Source organism: Homo sapiens, chromosome 10 (assembly GCF_000001405.40).
Source record: "Homo sapiens chromosome 10, GRCh38.p14 Primary Assembly".
Taxonomy (NCBI): domain Eukaryota; kingdom Metazoa; phylum Chordata; class Mammalia; order Primates; family Hominidae; genus Homo; species Homo sapiens.
The window spans coordinates 91024115-91042487 of record NC_000010.11 but is presented as its reverse complement, the minus strand read 5'-3'; the positions used below and the strand labels follow the sequence as shown (position 1 = coordinate 91042487).

General features: G+C 41.5%; 1 long non-coding RNA gene across 1 annotated transcript; it reads right to left on the bottom strand.

The window, feature by feature from the left end:
* Nucleotides 1-1232: 1232 nt before the first annotated feature.
* Nucleotides 1233-9322, bottom strand: LOC105378430 (uncharacterized). Its single transcript, NR_134319.1, has 3 exons — nucleotides 9294-9322; nucleotides 3080-3135; nucleotides 1233-1685 (listed from the first exon to the last, which is right to left on the bottom strand). It is a non-coding gene; the product is annotated as an uncharacterized LOC105378430 (long non-coding RNA).
* Between the last annotated feature and the right edge of the window lie 9051 nt (nucleotides 9323-18373).

Below are 18373 nucleotides of genomic sequence, written 5' to 3'. Positions count from 1 at the left end.
TAGAGAGAGAATTAAGTGTGCCTGAAGCAAAAAGACCAGAAAATATGAGTCCACTGAAAAGGAAATTTTCTAGATGGAATAGCAGGTAGAATTAGTTGGGACATGGTTTGGACAAAGAAGTGGTAAGAGCATAGTGAGTGAGGATGAGAACACACTCCTGCACACACTCAATCAGTGAGGTCAGAGAGCACAGGAGGAAAGGTCGGGTTACGGAGGGTGTGGAAAGCCATCTGTGCAGCTTATGGTCTATTCTAAGGGCAGTTGGAAGCTGTTGGAAGATTTTAGGCAGAGGGGGAGGGGCATGTAGCAAGATATGATTCGTGTTTTCAAAACATTACTCTGACTGCAATAATGAATTCTAGGATAGCAAGACTGGAAGCAGCACTAGGAAATTTTACAGATGTAGAGAAGCAAGACAGTGCTAGTTTGGATGGGAACAGTGGTGAAGATGGAGACAAGAGAAGATATTTTGAATATGATCATAGGTAGAGTCCATAGGGAGCCCTCTGATATTATCTAGTTCAACTTCACCTTACAGATGAGAACTTTGGGGTTCAGAGAAGTAAAGAAATGTTGTGTCACCATCTATAGATGGCAGAGCTACCACTCTGATATGAGCTCTTGATTTCCAGCCTAAAACACTTCCCGTTGTATCATACTACTTTATGTATTGTTTTGTGTGTGCTCGCTATTATTCTTCTGCCAGATTATAAATTTTCTGAAAGCAGAGAAGTTGCCTTAAACGTGAGCAACTGATAAACTTTTTGTTTGCAAAGGCTATGGCCAAGGTACATTGTAGATGAAATGTAGACATAGTCCTACAGTCCCAGGATCACTCAAACCCAGGCGCATAGAGGAAGCTCATTGACATTTCTTAAATCAAAATGAAGTGTTGAATTACATACAAAGGTTCCAATCTGTGGAAAACCAAATCCCATTGAGATTCAGACTCCAAGAAAAAGTTCAGATTCTTGCTTGAGTTATGAGAAGGGGGAAATTCTAGAGGTAATCCACATTAGTTCTTTATGGAGGAGAAGATAATTGCCCTTGCAGAAACTGTCCCAACTGACCCCAAACTGGAAAGCATTTGGACACTCCCTTCCCTCAACTCAGGGAGGAGTTTTACATGGGCTTAGTGGAGGGTCCACATACCCTTCTTCAAGACCTGGCAATAGAGACTCTGATGGAAAGGGCAAATGGATTACAAATAACTCCAGAGAACTCTCTTTTCACTTCTGCCTCTAGATTGATAAAACAGCATTGGCTGAGCCATCATTTTGGGTGTTGTTTTTATCCAGAGGAATATGCAGAGCCAAGTAGAAGCCGAGGGAAAAGCAACCCTGGGGACTGGCTTCTCATACCTAGCTCTGGCTTGGCCTCTGGCTAAAATAAAGGAAAATGGGAAAGAAACATCGAGTTTATAAATGATTTGATCTGATTCACTAAGGTAAATGAGCGGAAAGGGATTAAGGATAAAACCAGATATAAATCATTATCAGGGATTAAGTCATAACTGGAAATAACAACTGTTCATTTAACTCAGCCATTTCCAGTGTTATCTCATTCAGGAGTCCAAGCTTGACAGGAAACAACTGGAGAGAGGTACATACAGATTGGGTGCAGGTGAGGAAACCCTCTCCATCTGGGATAGTTGGCAGCATCAAACACAGCCATCTGGAAAATCTCTAATAAAAAGATGCCACTTGGTTTCAGAGAAAATGCCAAATATTTGTGTCTGTTATTAATCATGAAGTTATTGAAAATTGGCTTTGAGTAGCTTGGGTACTAATGATCAATGAATTAAAGGTCATTCCCTATATCTTATATTTGCCCTTTGTCTAGGTGTGTGCAGCGTTGGGTAAGGTCCTCCTTAGGACAGATCTATTTCCTTGTGCTTTCAGCCTCTCATTCTGTGTCCCTCTCCCTCTCTCTCTCTGGCACCTGTTGCTTTCTTGCTCCAGTGAGGCTGTTTGGAACTCCTAACCAGGTTTGCCCACCGATGGATGTCCTATGTTCCTAGATTATTCCTTTACTCTTCATTGATTCCATAAATCCTCCCACTTCCTCAGCACACTGATCTCATGAACCCATTTGGAGGAAAAAAATCTGATTGACCTTATTTATGCTATGAGTTGGGTGACTTACGCATTAAGATGCGCGTTTTTCAAATGGATAGATCTTAATGGTGGGACAGTGTGGGAACAAGGGCCACCCCTTGCACTTCTAATATTGTCATGTACTTTTTTTTCATTGCCCTTATATAGTTTTTAATCACATAATTGTATAGTGAACTAGTTAATTTCTTTCTTTGAATTAGATGACAAGCTTAGGAGAATAAGGCCCATGACTGTGTGCATTTCTCAGCCCAAAGCCCCATGACTAGGCCAAAAAGGAGATGAGGGAATACTTCTTGTATGAATGAATGAACGACAAATGAATGAATTGAATTTTCAAGTACAGGTAAGACAAATGTTTTTCATATCTGCTCCAAAGCACAAAAACCAACCAAACAAATAAGACCCTGAAATCATGAAAATTGAAAGATTCTTGTAGGGAGCTAAACAATTGCTAATTTTGTTTTAATCATAGCACTGTGTAGAGATTTCTTGAAATTAAAAAAGGAGGAGAGACTTCATTGGGGCTGACAGGTAGGTTCAAGGAAGCAAGGCCCAATTACTTAATACTCTTTGCTTTCAGGGCATCATTCTCCTCAGATAAGAAAATAAATCAATATCATTCATTCCCACCTCCTTCCCCATTGCTCTGATGAGACAAATGATTTGGAAACAGAATCTCCAGCCTGAGCCCTGTGTTTCCAGCTCCCCAACTGGCAATCCTGCCACCCACTCCTCCCACTCCTATCCCTTCCCCCATGAAGACCCTCTTTTTCTCTGGCTTCCTTGGTGATGAGATATGGGAGTGGGATGTTGTACATAACATTTGCCAATTTAGCATGAGCTCAGCCTGTGCTGCAGAGGTGTCCTTGTTCTGCCTGGGTTTCTATGAAAAGGAGATAATTTAGGTAAAAGTGCCTGGTGCATAGTAGGAACTCTTAACATGAGACTTCTTTTCCTCCTACCTTCTTAGTTCATTAAAACACTTCTGAACCACTGCTGCGCAGCAAGCATCTCTGGCCTAAAAAAGAGGTTAAAATGTTCGTAATTAATTAAACTGAAAGACAGTAAACTGGGATTAGAAATGTACATATGTCTATATGTGAAAAGGAGCTAAGAAATTGTGAGTGGCAGTAGCCTGTAATTCCCTAGAGTGGAGGACTCTGAAAGAGGGTGATTTATCTTTGAGCATCGCTCAGGTGCCTTTTTTATAGAGTCCTGCTGTTGCTATGGAAATCGTGTCTGTAGAAATGTGTGCAAATCTAGAATGGATTGCCAGTTGCATGAATAGGGAAGTGTGGGGAAGGGGCAGGCAGGCTGACACCTGTCAGTCTCCAGCACTGGTCCTGAAGAGAAAGAATTAGAATGTGATTGAGGAACATGGAGAGAGTGCTGTGGGGCAGGCACCACCATAGATAGCTTAGTGTCTGAGGGACTCCAAGACCATCTAGAATCTCCAATCTCCACTCTACCACTTAGGGTGACCATTATTATGTCTGTTATCTTAGTGTTTCTAATGGAATGATAAATAATAGCATCCCCTTTCACTGTCAGTGTTACCCTGGTTTAGTTGATAAACCGAATAGTCACACGATCACTACAGAATATAGTTTCTGTCATAAAATGAAAAAAGCCAACTGGAAATGATCCTGTCACACCTTTGACGATATTTTGTGCACAGGACTTAAGTCATTTATAAAGTTATTTTCCAGGTAAGAACTATGTCTCCCTTTCTCTGCACTTCTCCCACAGCTTCAATTGAACAGCTATGCTTCATACCCACCCCCAAAAAGGAACAAATATTTTTATCATCTCACAAGGAAAAACTAAAGTTGTACTGAGTCACGGAACTGGAGATCTGCTCGGCTCTCTCACTAGTGAAGTGACCAGCTCTTACATATCAGCCTTCCAGACTACATATTTCAAATTTGCACCACAAGGAATAAATAAATGACTGCCTATAGTGAACCCCATAAGGGTGGACCATTCAAAGTTTCTTGCTGTGAGCAACTTAAATAAAAAAGTGATGTGTTGAAAGGACACTGGAGACATACAGAATCCTTGGCGGGAGGCTGGAGAACAAGATTTAGACAGTGACAGGCAAAAAGTGGGCCTGGGCAGCCAGACCACAGCCAAGATCAATGTCACAGTTGTCCCATTCAGACACTGAATGCCTCTGCCGGTGGGCATTGAACTCCACTGGTCCACCATGGTGGGCACCGTGACCATGACTGCCCCACAGACTGGTTGGTGTTGCCACTTTTGCTGCCACTAACAGATGGACAATCCATGATTCCCCCTTCTTTGCCTAATTAGCTTCTAATTCTAAGCCCCAGATGTGTGCATCTGATGGGCCAAGCCTACTCTGGGTGCGTAGGCTCTAGTAGCAAGCAAAGCTGGAAGAGTGAATATCAGCACTTTTCAGCTTCTACAGAAGAAAGTGGTTTTTGTCTACAATCACAGGAAAGAAATTCTTTTTTTAATTATTCGTTTATTTATTTATTTATTTATTTTAAGACAGGGTCTCGCTGTGTCACTCAGTCTGGAGTGCTGTGTCACAATCATAGCTCACTGCAACTTGGAACTCCTGGGCTTAAGCAATCCTCCTGCCTCAGCTTCCCAAATAGCTGGGACTACAGGTGCACATCACCGTACCTTGCTATTTATTTTTATTTTTTATTTCTGTAGATACAGGGTCTTGCTATGCTGCCCAGGCTGGTCTCGAACTCCTGGCTTCAGGCAATCTTCCCACCTTAGCCTCTCAATGTATTGGGATTATAGGCATGAACCACTGAGCCCAGCCAGAAAGAAATTCAAATGCTCCGCAGCCTAAATATATCTGCTACATGGGGAGGTGATGAGAATTAAATCTGAGAATGTCAAGGACCTCTATATATAGTTTTCAGAAATAAGATCTCTTAATGTCTATCGAAATCAATGTCAAATATTTCAAAATAAGGCCTTAAAGCAGGAGTCTCTCAGATTTCTAGAAAGGGGAGATAATTTTTAATTGTCCATGGCTTTGGGTCTAATGCTAAAAGAGGAAAGGGAAAGGAGGAAGAAAGGCTACTACTTAAAATTCCTAGGGACAGGGAAGTTCACAGTCCTGGATGGAAGAAGGGGAACATCTGCCAATTTTGCACAATCATCTGCCAGAAATTCCAAGCAACCACAGAGAAAGGATGTAATGGAAGGATGGAAAGGTATTGAGCCAAGATCCAGAATTCTAATCACAGAGAGAAGGTAAGAATGTGGGCCATAGTAGAGGAGAAGAATTCCATGGTGAGCTGAGTGTAACAAGCGAGTGGTGTTCTCCAGAAATCTTGAGCACCTGGGTGGTTCATGCACCAGGCTGTGACTCAGACACAGCCTTTAGGAAAGAGGGACACATGGATGATGATTTGAGCCAAAAAACACAGGAAGGGTCATCTAATTATGGGACAGGCCAGCTGTCAGGGCAAGAAAATTTGCCAGTGTGTCGCTTTGCCTGCAAGTTATAGAAACCCAATGCTAATTAGCTCAGGCAAAAAGAGAATTTATTGGAGGAATAAGGGGGTGCCTCATATAACTGCCAACAAAGTGGGGAAGGGGCAGCTCTGACCCAGTGATCAAATGTCCCCAGGGCTGTCTCTGTCTCTCATCTCTACTTCTCTCTGAAGAGCAGAGGCATCACTACCTTGAATCAGGACCAGCATTCAACCCATCGGGGAACAGGATTGTTCACAGGGCTAAAGTCTTATGTCCTGTGGCTTCTACCCCCAGAGGGGAGATGGTCCTCTTCTTTTAGTTCCAACTCTGTGGAAATAATCTAATGAGCCTGGCTTTCCCAGGTCAGATGTCCCAGTTTAAGTTTCTGACCATTTAAAAAGGCAATTGCTAGTTGCAGACAAATAGCTAACATTGTTACCTACTCCTGGGGTGATCGATTGTGGATAGAGAGGTGGGGTCCTGATCAATCCACCTTGGGTTCATTCTCCTCTGGATCTGTCAGACATGCATGTAACAGGCCGTGTAAAACAGACACAGCCCTGGAGCCTCATCTCCCTGAGTCCTTGCTGTTCTCAGAGAAGGAAAAATCACTTCGAGCTTCAGTTGGTGTCTTTTACATCCAAGAATCTGGATGGGAATTGGAGCACAGAGTTTTTCCTTGGGAGGAAACAGGTAGGAGCCCCAATATTATATACCGTGTTTTGCCATTCCTGATAATAAGGCAGTTGGCCTGAGAGAACAGTATTACCGGGAGCCCCTGAAGGGCCGGGACAATGCCTCATCACCGCTGGGTATATCCCAGGATGCTTGTGAGCAATCCACAATGGTGGAGTTGAAGGGGGCTTGTTACAAACTCAATCGTATAAAGTGCTGGTGAGCACGGGCAAGTGCCCACTGTGCTGACCTGACAATGGGGAGGACTTGAGCTTAGGGAGGCCCTGTGGCAGGGACAACAGGCACCAAAGCCGCCTAAGAGCCAAGGATGTTGGTTGTTGCTTGGAACTGTGAAAATGTAAAGGTAGCTTACCTTTCCTGCCTACTGGTCCCTCCTAGATAACACATCTAAGGCCACCCAATTCACATTTGAAAAGGAAAAATGTGGTCAGTCTCTGTTTACATCCCAAGCAACTGCTGTGAGGGATTCTTGATGGAACTGACTTAATCATACAATTGTTTTGATATCACACAGACAACCACAGTTTTTAGTTTGGAAAAAATTTATGTGTGCATTGACCTGACGCCAGCTGATGGCAGCTTCATCTCCCGGTCTCGCTGGGCTTTGCTGAAACCAGACCCTAAAAAGTATACTTATGATATTAAACTTGTATTTTTTAGTGTTGGAAGAATTATCACTTTCTAAACAGAGCTGGATAATTGGAAAAGGACAGGGGGAAGCTCCTGAAAAACTGTAGTTGAGTTTATGCTTCACTGCTCATAAGAGCAGAGACTGGCATCCGCCTCCTAACTTATATGTGCCACTGAACATTTTATGTGAAGTTCTGTTTCAGGGACTCAATTAAATCTATGTTTCACCCAGCTCTCTCTATATGATAAGTCATGGTCTACCAGCCTTCTTCCATGGCAAAATAAAACTCCATGAGTGGATTCAACCATCATTTGCTACTTGAAAATGCCTCAGAGTCATCTTTTTCTATTTCTACTTTTACTTAAGTTTCTGTCTTTTTGGACACATTCTTAATTTTTTTAATTAAAACTCTATCCTTTTAGGGATATATGTCAACATATCAACTGCTTTGTCACATTCTTTGCTAACGCCAATGTCATCAGAATTTAAAAAGCTGAAGTGAGGAATTGCGTTTTGGAATGAAAGCCACGTGAGCAGTAAGGGCAGCCAGCCAGAACCTTCCGGGGAAGTGAATGAAAGCAGAACTGTGGTGGAAGAGTTTAAATCCCCTTTACAGTTCCCGTCATCCTCCCCCATTTCCCAGCCTCTAGGGCCGACTGGAACAAAGGTGGTGTCATATTCCCTGGGCACACTGCCTGCCACTGCACTTTTGTTTTTTCCAGTTTTTTTTTTTTTTTTTTTTCTTTAGAGCAGTTTTAGGTTCACAGTAAAATTGAGAGGAAGGTACAGAGACTTCTTTCCTATATACTCCCTGCCCCAACACAGTCACAACCTCCCCCATGACCAGCACTCCCCACCAGAGCAGTGCATGTGTTACATCGGCACATCGTTATCATCCAAAGTCCACAGTTTACACTTGGGTTCATTCTTACTGTTGTCCATTCCACGGTTTGGACAAATATATGATAACATGTATCCTCCATTATAATATTACACAGAATAGCTTCTTCCACTGCTCTTAAAATCCTCTCTGGTCTGCCTATTCAACCCTCTCTTCTGACCTCTGACCTCCATTGATGTTTTCATTGTCTCCACAGTTTTGCCTTTTCCAGAAGATTCTACAGTTGGAATCATGCAGTATGGACCCTTATTGGATTGGCTTCTTTCACTTAGTCATGAGCATTTAAGTTTCCCTGTGTCTTTTCATGACTTGAAATGATAGCTCATTTCCTGCCACCATACTTTTAGTGTAAGCACCAAGTTTTCATTCTTCCTGCCCCCACCTTGACAAAGCATACATCTTAGAATCATTTCCTTGCCACCAACTTCCCCTGTGTGGGTGAGAGAAAATCAGATTACACACCAAAGTCTAAACATCGTGCTTCTCCACTGGTTTCCTGGTACCCAGTGTCCTCCTGGGCTTCGAGATTTCCTGTTTGAAAACCAAATGTGTTTGCCACCTTGTGGTCTGTATTTTTAAATTTGTTTTTAGCCAGATATTGTTATCAATAAATTCATTGCCTAGGGCCGTAAGTGTAAGTGTGTGCCATGTATTTGTCCTTGTTTAAGATTTCCATTCCGTTTAACAATGATGGTTAAAGTTACGAGGCTATTCATATTGGACATTTGTACATCAGAAATACAGAACTGTCTCTCAAAACCCTGCATATCAGAATAGTTAGCAGCAGCATGGGGAAAAGTATCCAAGAAGCTATTTCATTTCCATGGCAGCCAGGACCCAGACGCGAAAGCTTTATAGATTAAAATCAATGCCTGAATTGCATTCAGAAAGCCTGAATTGCCTGTCAGACTTCAGGACCAGCGGCTCAATGTGATAAATGAGGTGGAGGGCTGCATCCAGGCAAGGGAGTGCGTGCCGCATTAGCCAGCACTTTGGATCCTTTTTCAAGGCAAATACCAAATGGGATGAATTACTGGGAAACAGCAAATGAATGTCAAGAATTTGAGATGTGGGGGTTATAATTTACTAATTACTGGGAAAAGATGAACACAAAGTCAATGTGTGAAAGAATGTGGTAGGGGGAAGGCTAGATCAGGGAGACAAAGAGAGTGAGCTGCACAGAAGGCTGCTCCTGTTTTCTGTTTTGATAAAAAGAGATGGATTTTAGAGGCATAGATACCTGGTTGAACTCCCAGCTTGGTCATTACCAGACCAAATTGTATTGTGTCATAAATTGTAATTAGCATGAAAAGACACGTATATGAACACCAAGCCTCATACCTGGCACATAGTGGGCAGTCAATAAATGTTAAATCTGCCTTTTCCCAGATCCCTTTCTATTCTTTTCTTATTTAGCAAGCAATCTCAGTACTAAGTCATAAGAGACTTTGTACAATGATTCAGTGTTGGAGAATGAGCCTACCTTCCTCCCATGGCAGGTCACTGATATTCAAAGACAGTGAAGCAAAGATGCAGAATTGAGAAACTTGCAGAAATGCTGTCACAAAGACTGGGTTCACTATAAAACTGCATACATATTATGACGTTTTGATGCCTGTACAGATGTGTCACATGGCAAAATAATGGACCATGGTTTTATTCTCCCGTGCTCTTGCCTCTCTTTTGTGACACTAATGCATTCTCTGAGCCCAGTGGGAGCTAGGCAGAGTAGTCTATCAATCACATGCTCCCAACAGGGCTACAGCTCTCAAGCAGCCAAGACAGGGACTTCCTAGGGTCTCCTCTCTGCCACCATGGATAGGAAGGATATCATCTGAAGAGGAACCACGGAGTAATTGAGCAAGATGTGAAAGAGCAGCCAAGAGACACAGATGCTTATGCTGGACACTTGCCAACCAGTTGTGCAAAATGAAGGGGTCAGACCAGAGCATCACTTCTTTCCCTATTTTTACTAGTTCTTTAAGAGACTGTGTAAGGAAAATATACACTCCCCTCCCTTTCTCGGTACTAGTGCCCTCGATTTTTGGTTGTGGATATGGGTACTCAGAATGCCGACCACACTGACCAGTCTTCCTTGCAGCTGTGCCAAGTGATGAGGTTCTGGACAATGATATGAAAGCATAGGTAGTATGTGCAACTCCTTGGAAGTGTCATTGGAAAGGAGAGTGCATATGTCCTTCTGCTGTCCTTCCTTGTTCTTGCCGGTGTTATGCGTTTGTAGTGGCTGAAACTGGAGCAGCCATCTTGGACATGGATGTGGAAGCTACAAGCTGTGGAGGGTAGAACAATGCAACAGAAGGAGACAGGGTTCCTGAGGCTGTCTGGGGCCATGGCCAACCCTAGACTATCTAGATTTCTTTTATGTGTAATAAAGGAAAAAATGTCAGCTATTCTGAATTTTATGTTACTCAAAATTAAACCTTAATCTTAATTAACTAATAGAGATTTTAATAAATGTTCTACTAAAATGGGTCCCTTGGGCAAATAAATCCTGGAAATGTTGTGTATTACAGACACTTTTTAAAGATTTGCAGTGCAATTTAGCCCATTACAGGCTAGTATCCGTGGGCTCTTGCAACTCAGAGTATAATCCCTGGACCAGCAGCATCAATATCACCCAGGAGCTTGTTAGAAATGCAGAATCTGGCCAGGCTCAGTGGCTCGTGCCTGTAATCCCAACATTTTGAAAGGCTGAGGTAGGAAAATCCTGGAACCCAAGAGTTTAAGACCAGCCTGGGCAACATAGCAAGACCCCATCTCTGTTTTTAAAAATGCAGAATCTCAGGCAACCCCAAACCTACTGGGTCAGAATCTACATTTTTAACAAGACTCCCAGGTTATTTGTCTGCAATTCGTTTGAGAAGCACAACCATAGATTACAATATGGAAATGGCATCCTATGGTCTTTGAGTCTGGAATAGAAGTAGCAGCATACTGCCAGTGGGTATGTCTGGAGATCCTGGAGCACAGGAATGAGCATGGGTGGTTTTCACAGCCATAGAATGGCCGTGTGCTCTTCAAGCCTGAGGTTGCTGCTATCAACTCCATGAATCCTCCAAAAATTTTCAGCTCTGAGTTTTGAGTCATTTTCAGGACCAGGCCATCTTGGTTGTCATTGACTGAGCTAGGGGTTTGTGGCAGACATCCTCTTCCTCCCTCCTGGAGACTTTTGCTTCTGTAGGGATCTGGATCTCTGACCGGAGTGTCCCCCTGGTGCTGCACATCTTTGTGTCCTACAACTGCTTTTCTTGGCAAGTTACATCTAGATCTACGGGAAAGGTGAGAAGGGGTCTTCAGGAAACCCAGCACTACCTGCCAGAGGCCACAGAAGCAGCTGGGTGGGCAAAAACTCCGTCAGTCATTTTTATGCAAAACCTCTGTCAGTCATTTTTATTCTCACACAACTCACATATGGGCACCTGGGGGTCTAGCTAACCAGAACATCAGTTGAACTAGGTTATTTTGTGTGTGTGAAACAGTAACCAATTAGATCATTTCCATTTACTTTTTGCTTTCTGGTTTAGCTGGTGATAGTATGTCAAAGGCATTACTTGCTAGTGGTGAGAATCTTCTTCTCCGGAGCCTGACTTCCTGGGTTTGGCTCCAGGCTCACCATGCGCCAGCTGCAAGACTTCAGTCAAATCACTTAACCTTCATCCTGCCAAGCCTCAGTTCCTTCATCTGTAAAGTGGGGATTAGGGTGGTATCTACCTCCCAGGTTGGTTGTGAGAATTACACATGAAATATATATGAAGGACTTAGACTTCTTCCTTGCTAATAGGAAACACTATATAACTACAATAAAATTTAAATATGTATATATATATATATATATACACACACACACAAGTAATAAGTTGTTACCACTATGTTATAATTTAAGGGGTCAAAATCTAAATCATGTGAATAAAAATCTAAAAATGAGGAATGAAAAGAAGTACAGGTATGAATTGGCAAAGTTTTCAGATCTGTCTCTCCCATGAGTTATTAAACAAATGACTGTCAGTTTCATTAACGCAAAGCAGACAATTTGAACAAACACACACTTAATAAATGTCCACTGAGTGCCAAAGTTTGAGGTCCATGCAGGGCACTGTGGAAATGCAGTGATGACAACCCAGTGCTGTGATTCAGTGGAGGAGAAAGAGAGATGCACACATACCGTATTAAAAGACAAATGTAGAAAGTGCTATACAATATTCTGTGAAAGAAGCAAAGCACGCCTGCAATTCCAGCATTTTGGGAAGCCAAGGCGAGTGGATTGCTTGAGGCCAGGGGTTCGAGACTGGCCTGAGAAACATGATGAAACCCCATCTCTACTAGCCAGGTGTGATGGTAGTCACCTGTAGTCCCAGCTACTCAGGAGGCTGAGGCAGGAGAATCGCTTGAACCCGGGAGTTGGAAGTTGCAGAGAACCGAGATTGTTCACTGCACTCCAGCCTGGGCAACAGAAAAAAAAAAAGAAGCAAAACACATAATGATAATAATAGGTACCTGCAGTATAAATGACTCTCATTTTACAAATCAATAGGTGGAGCTTCAAAGATATTAAGAAAATAGCTAAGCTCTCAGACCTGATAAATGAAAGAGGTGGGATTCAAACTCAGGTCTGCCTGATGTCAGAGTCCTTGCTTTCTCTGCCACACTAGATTGACTACAAAACTTAACAGGCACTTCATAGAGAAGGTAACATTTCAACTTGACCTCGAAAGATGAGTTGGATTTTTTTTTATATATACTTTAAGCTCTAGGGTACATGTGCACAACGTGCAGGTTTGTTACATATGTATACATGTGCCATGTTGGTGTGCTGCACCCATTAACTCGTCATTTAACATTAGGTATATCTCCTAATGCTATCCCTCCCCCCTCCCCCCACCCCACAACAGGCCCTGGTGTGTGACATTCCCCTTCCTGTGTCCATGTGTTCTCAATGTTCAATTCCCACCTATGAGTGAGAACATGTGGTGTTTGGTTTTTTGTCCTTGTGATAGTTTGCTGAGAATGATGGTTTCCAGCTTCATCCATGTCCCTACAAAGGACATGAACTCATCCTTTTTTATGGCTGCATAGTATTCCATAGTGTATATGTGCCACATTTTCTTAATCCAGTCTATCAATGTTGGACATTTGGGCTGGTTCCAAGTCTTTGCTATTGTGAATAGTGCCACAATAAACATATGTGTATATGTGTCTTTATAGCAGCATGATTTATAATCCTTTGGGTATATATCCAGTAATGGGATGGCTGGGTCAAATGGTATTTCTAGTTGTAGATCCCTGAGGAATCGCCACACTGACTTCCACAATGGTTGAACTAGTTTACAGTCCCACCAACAGTGTAAAAGTGTTCCTATTTCTCCACAGCCTCTCCAGCACCTGTTGTTTCCTGACTTTTTAAAGATCACCATTCTAAATGGGTGTGAGATGGTATCTCATTGTGGTTTTGATTTGCATTTCTCTGATGGCCAGTGATGATGAGCATTTTTTCATGTGTCTTTTGGCTGCATAAATGTCTTCTTTTGAGAAGTATTTGTTCATACCCTTTGCCCACTTTTTGATGGGGTTGTTTTTTTCTTGTAAATTTGTTGGAGTTCATTGTAGCTTCTGGATATTAGCCCTTTGTCAGATGAGTAGGTTGCAAAAATTTTCTCTTATTCTGTAGGCTGCCTGTTCACTCTGATGGTAGTTTCTTTTGCTGTGCAGAAGCTCTTTAGTTTAAATAGATCCCATTTGTCAATTTTGGCTTTTGTTGCCATTGCTTTTGGTGTTTTACACATGAAGTCCTTGCCCATGCCTATGTCCTGAATGGTATTGCCTAGGTTTTCTTCTAGGGTTTTTATGGTTTTAGGTCTAACATGTAAGTCTTTAATCCATCTTGAATTAACTTTTGTATAAGATGTAAGGAAGGGATCCAGTTTCAGCTTTCTACCTATGGCTAGCCAGTTTTCCCAGCACCATTTATTAAATAGGGAATCCTTTCCCCATTTCTTGTTTTTGTCAGGTTTGTCAAAGATCAGATAGTTGTAGATATGTGGCATTATTTCTGAGGGCTCTGTTCTGTTCCATTGGTCTATATCTTTGTTTTGGTACCAGTACCATGCTGTTTTGGTTACTGTAGCCTTGTAGTATAGTTTGAAGTCAGGTAGCATGATGCCTCCAGCTGTGCTCTTTTGGCTTAGGATTGACTTGGCAATGCGGGCTGTTTTTTGGTTCCATAGGAATTTTAAAGTATTTTTTTCTAATTCTGTGAAGAAAGTCATTGGTAGTTTGATGGGGATGGCATTGAATCTATAAATTACCTTGGGCAGTACGGCTGTTTTCACAATATTGATTCTTCCTATCCATGAGCATGGAATGTTCTTCCATTTGTTTGTATCCTCTTTTATTTCATTGAGCAGTGGTTTGTAGTTCTCCTTGAAGAGGTCCTTCACATCCCTTGTAAGTTGGATTCCTAGGTATTTTATTCTCTTTGAAGCAATCGTGAATGGGAGTTCACTCCTGATTTGGCTCTCTGTTTGTCTGTTATTGGTGTATAAGAATGCTTGTGATTTTTGCACATTGATTTTGTATCCTGAGACTTTGCTGAAGTTGCTTATCAGCTTAAGGAGATTTTCGGCTGAGACGATGGGGTTTTCTGAATATACAATCATGTCATCTGCAAACAGGGACAATTTGACTTCCTCTTTTCCTAATCGAATACCCTTTATTTCCTTCTCCTGCCTGATTGCCCTGGCCAGAACTTCCAACACTATGTTGAATAGGCGTGGTGAGAGAGGGCATCCCTGTCTTGTGCCAGTTTTCAAAGGGAATGCTTCCAGTTTTTGCCCATTCAGTATGATATTGGCTGTGAGTTTGTCATAGATAGCTCTTATTATTTTGAGATACGTCCCATCAATACCTACTTTATTGAGAGTTTTAAGCATGAAGAGTTATTGAATTTTGTCAAAGGCCTTTTCTGCATCTATTGAGATAATCATGTGGTTTTTGTCATTGGTTCTGTTTGTATGCTGGATTATGTTTATTGATTTGCATATGTTGAACCAGCCTTGCATCCCAGGGATGAAGCCCACTTGATCATGGTGGATAAGCTTTTTGATGTGTTGCTGGATTCGGTTTGCCAGTATAATATTGAGGATTTTTGCATCAATGTTCATCAGGGATATTGGTCTAAAATTCTCTTTTTTTGTTGTGTCTCTGCCAGGCTTTGTATCAGGATGATGCTGGCCTCATAAAATGAGTTAGGGAGGATTCCCTCTTTTTCTATTCATTGGAATAGTTTCGGAAAGAATGGTACCAGTTCCTCGTTGTACCTCTGGTAGAATTCGCCTGTGAATCCATCTGGTCCTGGACTTTTTTGGTTGGTAAGCTATTAATTATTGCCTCAATTTCAGAGCCTGTTATTGGTCTATTCAGAGATTCAACTTCTTCCTGGTTTAGTCTTGGGAGGGTGTATGTGTCGAGGAATTTATCCATTTCTTCTAGATTTTCTAGTTTGAGGGTGTATGTGTCGAGGAATTTATCCATTTCTTCTAGATTTTCTAGTTTATTTGTGTAGAGGTGTTTATAGTATTCTCTGATGGTAGTTTGTATTTCTGTGGGGTCAGTGGTGATATCCTCTTTATCATTTTTTATTGCATCTATTTGATTTTTCTCTCTTTTCTTCTTTATTAGTCTTGCTAGAGGTCTATCAATTTTGTTGATCTTTTCAAAAAACCAGCTCCCGGATTCATTGATTTTTTGAAGGGTTTTTTGTGTCTCTATTTCCTTCAGTTCTGCTCTGATCTTAGTTATTTCTTGCCTTCTGCTAGCTTTTGAATGTGTTTGCTGTTGCTTCTCTAGTTCTTTTAATTGTGATGTTAGGGTGTCAATTTTAGATCTTTCCTGCTTTCTCTTGTGGGCATTTAGTGCTATAAATTTCCCTCTACACACTGCTTTGAATGTGTCCCAGAGATTCTGGTATGTTGTGTCTTTGTTCTCATTGGTTTCAAAGAACATGTTTATTTCTGCCTTCATTTCATTATGTCCCCAGTAGTCATTCAGGAGCAGGTTGTTCAGTTTCCATGTGGTTGAGCAGTTTTGAGTGAGTTTCTTGATCCTGAGTTCTAGTTTGATTGCACAGTGGTCTTTCCTGACTTTTTAATAATGGCCATTCTAACTGACATGAGATGATATCTCATTGTGGTTTTGATTTGCATTTCTCTAATGACCAGTGATGAAGAGCTTTTTTTCCTATGTTTGTTGGCCACATAAATGTCTTCTTTTGAGAAGTGTCTGTTCATATCCTTCACCCACTTTTTGATGGGGTTGTTTGTTTTTTCCTTGTAAATTTGTTTAAGTTATTTGTAGATTCTGGATATTAGCCCTTTGTCAGATGGATGGATTGCAAAAATTTTCCCCCATTCTGTAGATTGCCTGTTCACTCTGATGATAGTTTCTTCTGCTGTGCGGAAGCTCTTTAGTGTAATTAGATCCCATTTGTCAATTTTGGCTTTTGTTGCCATTGCTTTCGGTGTTTTAGTCATGAAGTCTTTGCCCATGCCTATGTCCTGAATGGTATTGCCTAGGTTTTCTTCTAGGGTTTTTATGGTTTTAGGTCTTACGTTTAAGTCTTTAATCCATCTTGGGTTAATTTTTGTATAAGGTGTAAGGAAGTTGCACTTTTCTGCATATGACGAGCCAGTTTTCCCAACGCCATTTATTAAATAGCGAATCCTTTCCCCATTGCTTGTTTTTGTCAGGTTTGTCAAAGATCAGATGGTTGTAGATGTGTGGCGTTATTTCTGAGCTTCTGTTCTGTTCCATTGGTCTATATCTCTGTTTTGGTACGAGTACCACGCTGTTTTGGTTAGTGTAGCCTTGTAGTAGAGTTTGAAGTCAAGTAGCGTGATGCCTCCAGCTGTGTTCTTTTGGCTTAGGATTGACTTGGCAATGCGGGCTCTTTTTTGGTTCCATATGAAATTTAAAGTAGTTTTTTTCTAATTCTGTGAAGAAAGCCGATGGTAGCTTGATGGGGATGGCATTGAATCTGTAAGTTAGTTTGGGCAGTATGGCCATTTTCACCATATTCATTCTTTCTATCCATGAGCATGGAATGTTCTTCCATTTGTTTTCTCTCTTATTTCCTTTAGCAGTGGTTTGTAGTTCTCCTTGAAGAGGTCCTTCACATTGCTTGTATGTTGGATTCCTAGGTATTTTATTCTCTTTGTAGCATTTGTGAATGGGAGTTCACTCATGATTTGGTTCTCTGTTTTTCTATTATTGGTGTATAAGAATGCTTGTGATTTTTGCAGATTAATTTTGTATCCTGAGACTTTGCTGAAGTTGCTTATCAGCTTAAGGAGATTTTGGGCTGAGACGATGGGGTTTTCTAAATATACAATCATGTCATCTGCAAACAGAGACAATTGACTTCCTCTCTTCCTATTCGAATACCCTTTATTTCATTCTCTTGTCTGATTGCCCTGGCCAGAACTTCCAATACTATGTTGAATAGGAGTGGTGAGAGAAGGCATCCTCGTCTTGTGCTGGCTTTCAAAGGGAATGGTTCCAACTTTTGCACATTCAGTGTGATATTGCCTGTGGGTTTGTCATAAATAGCTGTTATTATTTTGAGATACGTTCCATCAATACCTATTTTATTGAGAGTTTTTAGCATAAAGTGGCGTTGAATTTTATCGAAGGCCTTTTCTGCATGTATTGAGATAATCATGTGGTTTTTGTCATTAGATTTCAAGCAGAACTGGGAAAAGCCAAAGAGTTGTGGTGGGCTGAAGAGCACTTCCTGCCCAATGCATAGATGGCCAAGGCTGGCAGACAGGACCAGAGGCCACAGAAGCAAAGGAACTGTGACACATCAGGATACATAAGTGACGGGGGTCATGTGGTGGAGAATCTCGTGTAAGAGATTGCAGGGGGAACACTGAGGAGGCTGTGTAGCAAGCACACTAAACTCATTTAAAGGCTTTGCAATCTAAAAAGCCAAACCAAACCAAACAACCCACTGTACTTATAAACAAGTCTGCAGTGATTCTGGCCCTCCAATCACCAGTTTTCATATTCTGTCCAGCAGTCGTGTCCCCATGAAACAGGGGCTTAAAGCTGGAGGCAAGGAGACCAATTAGGAGGCTGTGTGGGGACAACAATGAGGGTCAGGACTAAGAGAGTGACAGTGGGGTAGAATCTGATGTGCAGTTAAGAAATAAAAAAATTCTGTAAATTACTAAACAGCTGGATTTTAAATCTGCTCATATCACTTCCTTAATTATCACTTGCCATGGGGGCAAAGAGACGCATCAACTAAGCATTATCCATAGGTCTGCTTCTGAAGCTTCTAAAATTCAAATGGATGAAATTACTTTCTGTAATCCTTGTGATTTAACTGCGTGCAGCCTCACAGCCAGCAAGGGAGGGGGCGGGGAGGAGTGAGGATGGTTAAATAAAAACAGTTCTATTTCTGGCATGCTTTAATGACAACCTTGTCTTAGAAATATTTTTTTTTGTGCAATGTCTTTTCAGTGTCATTGAAAGTGTTTTTAATTT